The sequence below is a fragment of the Homo sapiens genome, chromosome 6 (genome assembly GCF_000001405.40).
Source record: "Homo sapiens chromosome 6, GRCh38.p14 Primary Assembly".
Lineage (NCBI taxonomy): Eukaryota > Metazoa > Chordata > Mammalia > Primates > Hominidae > Homo > Homo sapiens.
In genome coordinates this window covers 36,636,226-36,646,715 of record NC_000006.12, presented here as the reverse complement: position 1 = coordinate 36,646,715, position 10,490 = coordinate 36,636,226, and the positions used below count along the sequence as shown (strand labels likewise).

The 10,490-nt window shown below is 49.3% G+C and overlaps 1 long non-coding RNA gene and 1 pseudogene across 1 annotated transcript; one reads left to right on the top strand and one right to left on the bottom strand.

The window, feature by feature from the left end:
• Positions 1-4,703: 4,703 nt before the first annotated feature.
• LOC105375038 (uncharacterized) lies at positions 4,704-8,027 on the bottom strand. The gene is made up of 2 exons (XR_926759.3): positions 7,052-8,027; positions 4,704-5,376 (listed from the first exon to the last, which is right to left on the bottom strand). It is a non-coding gene; the product is annotated as an uncharacterized LOC105375038 (long non-coding RNA).
• On the top strand, positions 7,044-7,149 carry RNU1-88P (RNA, U1 small nuclear 88, pseudogene; annotated as a pseudogene).
• Positions 8,028-10,490: the final 2,463 nt, after the last annotated feature.

Below are 10,490 nucleotides of genomic sequence, written 5' to 3'. Positions count from 1 at the left end.
CTTTCCACCCCATTCTCCCACTAGCCTATTTTTCATCCCTAAATTGCCCACTGTTGCCTGTTTCTTGTATGTCCTCCATGAAAGTTTTTTTATGCTTTATCTAAACAAATGCAGGTATATTTAAGTGTATTCCTTCCTCATCTCCCCACCTTTTTTTTTTTTTTTTTGGGACAGAGTCTTGCTCTGTAGCCCAGGCTGGAGTGCAGTGGCACGATCTCGGCTGACTGCAACTTCCGCCTCCCGGGTTCAAGCGATTCTCTTGCCTCAGCCTCCTGAGTAGCTGGGACTACAGGTGCGTGCCACAATGCCCGGCTAATTTTTTTATTTTTAGTAGAGACAGGGTTTCACCATGCTGGCCAGGCTGGTCTCAAAATCCTAACTTTGTGATCCACCCACCTCAGCCTCCCAAAGTGCTGGGATTACAGGTGTGAGCCAGCGCACCCAGCCCATCTCCCCATTTTTTACACAAAGAATAATGAGCTATATACACTGTCCTCACCTTCTCCTTTTTAAAATTTGTTTGAGCTGGGGTCTCCCTATGTTGCCCAGGATAGTTTCAAACTCCTGGTCTCAAGCAAGCTTCCCATCTCAGTCTTCCAGGTAGCTGGGACTACAGGTGCAGGCCATTGTGCCTGGCTTTACCTTCCTTTTAAACTCTTAAACTTAAAAGTGTATCTTGAATGTCTTCCTATTTATGCTCAAGACAGCTTTCTTATTTTTTTTTACAATAGTATTGGAGTCTGCTCTATATAGATAGGTATACCATGATTTATTAAAGTAGGCCCCATAGATGAACATTTAAGGTATTTCCAATTTTTTTTTTTTTTAAGAAACAGGGTCTCACTCTGTACCCAGGCTCAAGTGTGGTGGCACAATCATCACTCACTGCAGCCTCCAACTCTTGGGTTCAAACAATCCTCTCACCTCAGCCTCCTGAGTAGCTAGGACTACAGGCATACACCACTACACCCAGCTAATTTTAAAAATTTTTTTGTGGAGACAGGGTTTATGTTGCTCAGGCTACATTATTTCCAATCTGATGCAAACAATACTACAGTGACTACCATTGCGTGTGTATCAGTTCACATGTGTGAGCATCCATCTGTCAAATAAATTCCTAAAAGTGGAATTGCTGGGTCAGAAAGTGCACGCATTTATAATTTTGATAGACATGGCCAAATTGTCCTCTGTCGGAGAGCAGTACATACTTTTTAACCCAGCATCTAGCCTTAAGTATTTTCTCCATCTTTTGTTGTCCATAAATAACAAAGTTAGGACTTAGCTTCAGGCATAAACCACTTCCTCTATTTGTCCACTCAAATGTAATCTGCAATATGTCAAAGGCCTCTTAGGTGACAAACACTTGCTGGGTGCTGAGAAACAAAGATGCACAAGACACAGGTGCTGTCCTTGGAAGTGAGTCTGGATGCTGGGGGTAGGGGAGGCGAGAAGGAAGGGATGTGTAAGAAGAGTTCCTGCTGCTGTCCATCAGGCCCTAAATACCTGCGGAAGAAATGACCTCCTTATCCCAGCACCCAGCAAAGCAGGGCATGGATCAGATGCCCAGTACACACTGAACGGGTGAAAGATTGAATCATTGAACGTCTGGTGTGGAGGAAAGAGGGAAAGTCAGCAGATTGGAGCATCCCCCAAGAGTCTCGCTCTGTCGCCCAGGCTGGAGTGCAGTGATGCAATCACAGCTCACTGCAGCCCTGACCTCCTGGGCTCAAGCAATCCTCCCATCTCAGCTTCCTCAGCAGCTGCGACTACAGGCACATACCACCATGCCTAGCTAATTTTTGTATTTTTTGTAGAGATGGGATCTCATCATGTTGGCCAGGCTGATCTCAAACTCCTGGGCTCAAGTGATCCTCCCAACTTGGCCTCCCACAGTGTTGGGATTACAGGCATGAGTGACTTTTCTTGAGAATCAATTTCAACATACGAAATTCTGAGTCAGAGGAGCTAAATGTCTTCTGGCTTCCTGACTCACAAGGATCAGTTTGGGACTGGGCGCGGTGGCTCACTCCTGTAATCCCAGCACTTTAGGAGGCCAAGGTAGGCAGATCAGGATTTCAAGACCAGCCTGACCAACGTGGTGAAACCCCGTCTCTAGAAAACACAAAAATTAGCTGGGCATGATGGCAGATGCCTATAATCCCAGCTAGTCGGCAGACTGAGGTGGGAGAATTGCTTCAACCCGGGAGGCAGAGGTTGCAGTAAGCCGAAATCATGCCATTGCACTCCAGCCTGGATGACAGAGCGAGACTCCATCTCAAAAAAAAATCAGAAATTAATTAATTAAAAATCAGTTTGATTGGTGAGGAGGTGTGAAGGTCAGGAATGATCTAGAGGCAGATCTGAGTGAGTGGAGTTTGGGAGGTCCTCTGATTAACCCTGGACAATGGGCATCTCCACCAAATAAGCCAGACGACCTCTGAGTTGAGACAGAGGTGAAGAAGGGAGGATACTAGTGAGAGCTGCCCAAGAGAAGTTCCCCATTTCCCCACTCTGGGGTGGAATGCAGCTGCTGTGTGGGGAACAACCATTCTCCCTGCCCGCTGCAAACTAGAGCACACCCTTTGCAGTCCAGAGTCCGCACCCTCCTAGTGCAGGCTATGGAAAGGATGCCCATCCCCTGCCCCACCAATGAGATTCCAAGCCCCGGAAATTGATCTGACAGTTTGGAAACTCCAGCTGCATCCCCAGGAATGCAGGTACCCATTTCTCTATTTGGAGAAGGAAACCAGCGTAGTTTCAGCTCCTCTGGTTCATGCCCTAGAATTTTAGAAAGAACAGTAAAATATATAATGCTTACAAAAAAAATCAAGAACCAATCAAATCCACCCCTGTTTTACAGATGAAGAAACTGAGTCCCAGAGAGGTGAAGTGGGCTGCCTGAGGTCACACAGAGGGTAAAAGGCTGAGCAAGATCTGGAAACAGGGCTCCTGGCTGTGTACCCAGTGCTCTCTGCTCTGAACGAGGGGGTGGGGGAGGGGATGGTGACCTAGACGTGGCTCTGGGAAACCAGAGAGAAGAGAACTGTGCCAGAGCTGGAGGCAGGTTCAGAGCTGGGGTCGTGGGTAGGAATCATCTACCTACACCTGTCCCAGTTTCTGGATTGTAAGTCCTCCAGGAATTCCTGATATTCTACTTATGTCCAAGTTCCCTGCTTGGAAGCAGGTTTGCCAGCATGGGTTTCCAAGTGTTGTCAGCCCTGAGAAGGGAGGGACGGTGTGGAGAGAAGCAGGCTGCCGAGGCTGGGGTTGCTGGGCAACCAAGCCCAAGGACCACCTTGAGGGAGAGCTGTCCCAGCTCTGTGCTCCCCGTGGACCCAGCTCTGTGCTCCCCGTGGACCCAGCTCTGTGCTCCCCGTGGGCCCAGGGTGGCTTCTAGTAGTGACTCAGGGCTCATGGGCAGTGTTCCTGGGAACAGAGTAGGAAGGGGTGGCAGCCAGCCAGGATCTCCTGTTCCCTGGACAGAGGCTGGTGGATGACTCCTCCTCCTGATCTCTTAGGACTTTGACTCCCCTTTGGAAGCTGCTTTGAAAGTTTTCCAGAACTTGATTTTACCTGCATTAAACCCTTAGGAGAGTCTCACCTTGGAATTGAGCTTTTGAAATACTTTTCTGGGTACTCTTGACCCCCTGGCCTAGCCCCAGCCAGGGATTCCAAGGGGTGAGGGACATGTGTGTTCCTTTCTCCTGAGGTGGAAGAGCAAGAAAACAATTCCCCTCCTAGAGCAGACAGACTTGCATGAAATGGTGAAATAACAAACCACCTCTGACATCAGCAAGGGCCTTCAGGTTCTTCAGCTCCTGGTAATCCTCACAGCACTCCATGACAGATTTTTTAAATCCCTTCTACAGGTAGGGACATTGGGGCACAATGAGGGACATTGAGGCACAGGGACATTGAAGCACTTGCACAGGCAAGTCATGTCACTTGCCCCAGGACACAGAGAGGAAAGAACCCAAGGACAGGGCTCCATGGCTCTTTGCCTGGACAGAGTGACTTAGATCCATTTCAAGTCCTTGCCCTGGAGGCCCAGCCCTCACCCCCATAGACTCCAAGCCTCCCCAAGAGCTGACTAGCTTTATCTTTAAATTTTATTTTATTTTTTGAGACGGAATCTCGCTCTGTCGCCAGGCTGGAGTGCAGTGGCGCAATCTCGGCTCACTGCAACCTCTGACTCTCTGGTTCAAGCGATTTTCCTACCTCAGCCTCCTGAGTAGCTAGGATTACAGGTATGCACCACCATGCCCAGCTAATTTTTGTATTTTTAGTAGAGATGGGGTTTCACCATGTTAGCCAGGATGGTCACAATCTCCTGACCTGGTGATCTGCCCGCCTCGGCCTCCCAAAGTCCTGAGATTACAGGCATAAGCCACCGTGCCCAGCCCTGACTAGCTTTTTAACCACAAACTCACTCTGAAGGAAATTGGAAAACACTGGTAGGTCAGTGTTTTCAAAATTTTTGGGCTGAAACTCACAGTAAGAAATGCATTTAGGCCAGGTGCAGTGGCTCTCCCCTGTAATCCCAGCACTTTGGGAGGCTGAGGCAGGAGGATCACCGGAGCCCAGGAGTTCAAGACCAGCCTGGGCAACATAGCGAGACCCTGTCTCTATTTTTTTTTTTAAGAAATGTATTTAACACCACAATGCAGTAATCGGACACACAAACATAATCATAGCTCTTAGGATAATTTGTAATTATTCTGTTTATTTATAAATATGTAAAATCAAACAAAGTTGCATGAAGTAACACTTTTACTGCCTGAGAAACACGCTGGCATTTTCTATTATCTGCTCTTCTGTCTCATTATTTCCAAAAAGTACTCAAGTGGCTCCCTAAATTATTTCCATGACTTGAATTTTGAAAAGCACCCTGGGTGGATAGCAGCTTGGGTCCCCCTGACCCTTGTCAGCAGGTCGACAAAGCTGGCAGTGAGGACAAAGGTCTGATTCTGTGCACTTTGTGCCTGGCATTGAACTGCACCCTGTGGGGACACAGGAAAAGATACTCCTTCCTGGATGTCGCCCTCAAGTCATTTACAAGCAAATGAAACAAGGCCACACATAAAACAAAGCCAAAGCAAATTAAAGGCAGAAAGAATAGGTGCCTCTGAAGGACTGTATTATTTTGCCAGGACTGTCATTGCAAAATACCACAGGCTGGGTGGTTTCAACAATAGAAATTTATTTTCTAACAGTTCTGGAATCTGGGCATCTAAGACCGAGGTGCCAGCAAGGTTGGTTTCTCCTGAGGCTTCTGTCCCTGCTTGCAGACGGCTGTCCTCCTACTGCCTCCTCACACGGTCATCCCTCTGTGCACGTGCACCCCTGGGGTCTCCTTCCATGTCCACACTTCCTTTTCTTATAAAGACACCAGCCATATTGGATTAGGACCCACCCTAATGGCCTCATTTTACTTAATTACCTCTTTAAAGGTACTATCTCCAAATAGTCACATTCAAACGTACTGGGAGTTAAGACTTCAACATATGAATTTGGGGGACACAGTTTAGTGTCCTACTATGTGTGCAGTACATTAGCTCATGTGTTTTCACCCTAGCCTGGGTGCTGCAGGCCTTATTCCTTTTTTGGGGGTGGGGGGGGTTTCTTGAGACAGAGTTCCGCTCTGTTGCCCAGGCTGGAGTGCAATGGTGCGGTCTCGGCTCGCTGCAACATCTGCCTCCCAGGTTCAAGCAATTCTCTTGCCTCAGCCTCCCGAGTAGCTGGGATTACAGGTGCCCACCACCACACCCAGGTAATTTTTGTATTTTTAGTAGAGACAGGTTTTCACCATGTTAGCCAGGCTTGTCTTGAACTCCTGACCTCAGGCGGTCTGCCTGCCTCGGCCTCCCAAAGTGCTAGGATTACTAGTGTGAACCACCACACCCAGCCTTACTCCTATTTTAAAGATGAGGAGTCTAAGATAACGGTTTTGGAAAATAAAGAAAACAAAAAGGCCAGGCGCAGTGAGTGGCTCAGGCCTGTAATCCCAGCACTTTGGGAGGCCAAGGCGGGTGGATCACCAGGTCAAGAGATCGAGACAATCCTGGCCAACATGGTGAAACCCCGTTTCTACTAAAAATACAAAAATTAGCTGTGCGTGGTGGTGGGCGCCTGTAGTCCCACCTATTCGGGAGGCTGAGGCAGGATAATTGCTTGAACCCAGGAGGCAAAAGTTGCAGTGGGCCAAGATCACGCCACTGCGCTCCATCCTGGCGACAAAGCGAGACTCCATCTCAAAAAAAAAAAAAAAGAAAAAAAGAAACAAACAAACAGAAAAAAAAGGAAACTGGACGCAGTGGCTCATGCCTGTAATTCCACACTTTGGGAGGCTGACGTGGGCGGATCACCTGAGACCAGGAGTTCGAGACCAACCTGGCCAACATGGTGAAACTCCATCTGTACTAAAAATACAAAAAAAAAAAAAAAAATTAGTTGGGCATGGTGGTGCATGCCTGTAGTCCCAGCTACTAGGGAGGCTGAGGCACAAAAATCACTTGAACCCGGGAGGCGGAGGTTGCAGTGGGCTGAGATCGCACCACTCCACTCCAGCCTGGGCAACAAGAGCGAAACTCCGTTTCAAATAAAAAAAGAAAAAAAAAAAATGAGGAGGGCCGGGCCTGGTGGTTCATGCCTGTAATCCTAGCACTTTGGGAGGCCAAGGCGGGTGGATCATCTGAGGTCAGGAGTTCGAGACCAGCTTGGTCTAAAAATACAAAAATTAGTCAGGCACGGTGGTGCACGACTATAGTCCCAGCTACTTGGGAGGCTGAGGCAGGAGAATTGCTGGAACCCAGGAGGCGGAGGTTGCAGTGAGCCAAGAGTACGCCACTGCACTCCACCCTGGGTGACAGAGCGAAACTCTGTCTCAAAAAAAAAAAGAGGAGGCTAGTGTTGGGAGCAGCTGGTAATGGCCAGTGGTCTGCCAGCTGAGAAAGAATGTCGCAGCATTTGGGTTCACACTTTGCCCCTCACATGTCGCCTTGCTGTGGTTGAAGCAGGTGGGCTGAGTTTTAAAAGGCCATCCTATACTTACCTGGCAGGGGAGATACTATGATCACGAAGGTGGTTTTCCCAGGGCGAGGCTTATCCATTGCACTCTGGATGTGCTGACCCCTGTGATTTCCCCAAATGAAAAAAAATTCAAAGAAAATAAAAGGCCATCCTGCTGTGCAGATAGGAGATGAGTGAGGCCGGAGGAGTGGCAGGAGGAGGTGCCTAGGCCGGTCCTCATAGCTTTGTCCAGATAGAAGGAAGAGGAGAGCTTTCCAGGCTGGGATGGTGGGAGCTGAAAGGGCCCACTGAGAACTCCTCCCATGTCATTGGGGTGCTGGGCCGGGGGTCTGAGGCCTGGAGAGGAGGAAGTGATGCAGTACTCACATGTTTATCTCATGTGAAGGCTTGTCTTCTCCCTCTTCTCAAGGCCAGGCAGTGCCATTCATTCCTCCGTGTTCCCCATCTGGCCTAGCGTGCCGTTCAGAATGAAGATCTCTGGGTATCCATAGGACCCTCTAGACATGAGACCGTGGGAGGAAATGGGGCAGTGGGTCTCAGTCTTATGCCCCTGACCTTTAAAGGTGTATAAGGTGTGTACCTGAGGAAGAAACAAGCAATTGCTAGTTACAAACACTCCTAGCACATGGGGGCATGGTATATTTTTCCCGCTATTTTTAACTTTCCACAGAGAGACACCCTTCTGCCCATATGGAGTCAGCATCAGAGGGTCCTTTCTCTCTTCCGGCTCCTCTTCCTTTCTTCCCTGCATCCACTGGAATTCTCCAGGTCCTCCCATGTTTCTTTGAGTGAGGTTTTTGCTAGACAAACCCATCTTTCTTTGACTAAAATCAGTCGCCTCTCATGCTGCCTATTATTTCACCAAAAGACCCGCTCAGTGGTGTGTTGGTAAATGTTGCACAACCAGCTCTCCAGGGGAGAACAGGTATATCCATGACCCCAAAAGAATCAATAATAGTAAAGTGCAGCAAAACAACTAGGAAGTGCTGTGCTGTGAGTATATGTTACCTTTGTTTTGAATATAATTTATTTAATTCTGAGTTTGTAGCATGCATTCTCAATAGGGGCAAAAACTGATTCTTGATGGGGAAACAAAACAAAAAGTCTTGCTGGGTGCAGTGGCTCACACCTGTAATCCCAACACTTTGGGAGTCTGAGGAGGGCAAATCGTTGGAGCCCAGGAGTTTGAGACCAGCCTGGGTAACATAATGGAACCCTGCCTCTACCAAAAAAATACAAAAATCAGCCAGGCATGGTGGTACGCGCCTGTAGTCTCGGCTACTCTGGAGGTTGAGGTGGGAGGATCACCTGAACCTGGGAGGAGGAGGTTGCAGTGAGCCGTGATCACACCACTGCACTCCAGCCTGGGCAACAGAGTGAGACTCTGTCTCAAAAAAAAAAAAAAAAAAAAAAAAAAAAACCAAGAAACTTAATCCTTTTGTGTATAAAGCACAGATATCTCTCCAGTACTTAAGCAGATATACAGTATCTGTGATATTAAAATTTTATGGGACAGTGATGGTAGGAGATTGGAGGAGAAAAATGTCTTGAAAGTCTTCTCAGGAGGCAATGATGAACAAAAGGTTGAGAAACCCTGTCCATATAATTTAATTTAATTTTAATGATGGCTGTGTTTAACAACCAGCTCACTAAATTCCTGAATATTTAACCATCTGCTCTTGCAAGCCTATGTGAGCTGGCTCCAACACACTCCCAGACCTGCCCACTTGGGGTGAAAGATGCCCCCAGCCCCCCACCACCCAAGCGGTACATGAGGCTGGTAGAAGAGATGGTGGTGAGTGGTGCTGCGGGTGCTGAGGGGGTAAGGGGACCCAAACAAATCAGTGGGGGTCACCTCCTCTGTCAGGCGCTGAGTCCCTGCCTGAGCCCCTGGCCCCTGGGTCATGTCATCCGACTCCACAGCGGTTCTCCTGTCTAATAGCCCCAGGACCTAATCAGCATGGCAGATGGGTGGTGACATCCTGCAGGCCCCCCAACCCAACAGGGCACAACAGGGATTTGTGCACACACCCTCACCCTTGCCCTGGAAAGGAGGCTCAGGGAATCCAAATCATCTTTATTCGGAGCCTCTGGTCGGGTGGTTCTGCTGAAAGGCCTACCTCAGGCATGGGGGGTCAGGCAGGGAGGGGAAGCCTGGCCTTCCCATTTCCCATTGGGACTCAGAGGGGCCCATTCAGTGATGTTCCTCCTAATCAGATGCTCCCAGGGAGAGTAATGAGGATGACATAGTCCTCAATGCTTGATTAGATTGAGCCCACGGAAACTTGAATAGCTATGGGGCACCCTTTCAGTGCTAGCTGGAGTGGAGGAGGGGGCTTGGGGACAGGCCAGGCATGCAGATCCCAACAGACACAACATGGGGCCCCCAGTTGGGCCTTCAGCTGCTGCCTGGAGGGAGGGGGCGTGATGGGGGAGGGGGAAGCTGTTCTTCCTGGAGCACTGACAGTGGTTGCTCTAATTGCTTTGGGGGAATCGGTCCAGAGTCAACCAAAGGCACTTTGTTTTCTGTAAACAGGGCAGAGAGGAGGCATGGGGAACCAATGAAGAGGCGGTTCCCTTTCTTCCTTCTGCTCTCTGCCTCTCCCCTCTTTGAGCCATTAGGAGTCTACTATCTTGTCCACTGATCCCAAAAGCTCTCTGGATCCCACACAAAGACACGGTGAGACTCCTCAGAACCTCATTCTCCAAACGCCCAGCGGCCTCCTGAAAGGGTCAGGCTGAGAAGCTGCCCCAAACAGCAATGTTCTTCTCCAGCCTCGTCCTTGGCCTGCGTTCATCATTGCCCTCCCAAGCAGTCAAGGAGTGGGAGTTAATTCGTGTGGCTTCAGTACTGCAAGTCTCCTAGTCAGAGCCCTCGTGGTGGGGTGGGGTGACTATTCAAGCCCCCCTCTCCCTCGAGGCTTCATTTACATGGTGCACTCAGTTACTCTCCAAAGACTCACTGGGAACTTACCCCACTTTCTCTCCCACAGGACTGCCCCCATTGGTCCCCAGAGCAGCTTTCAGCTTTGGGGCTTTTTCAGGCCTCCCTCAAGAGTCCCCTGAGCCCGCCCTGTTCCTTGGAGCTGTGGGAGGCTGGGACCCAATTAGAAGGTGATGGCTGGCCTCCAGCATGATGCAGGAAGGGCTGGCTAGACGGCTCCAAACCGGAGTGGTGGGAGTCTTGATGGGTGGGCTGCATGCCAGGGAGGGCTGGCCAGAGTTCAGGAGCAGGACTAGCAGTCCTCACACTTACCATGACCCCGACCCTCACCCCAGGGCCTTTGCACATGCTGTGCCCTCTGACCAGATCTCTTTTCCTTCTTCTCTCCATTGAATTAACTCCCACTCATCTTTCCTGTCCCAGTGCAATCATTACTTCCTTCGGGAAGCAGGCTCTCTCATTCCTATGTTTACAACAAACTCCCGTGATTACAATTTTCACAGCAAGAACCTGTTGG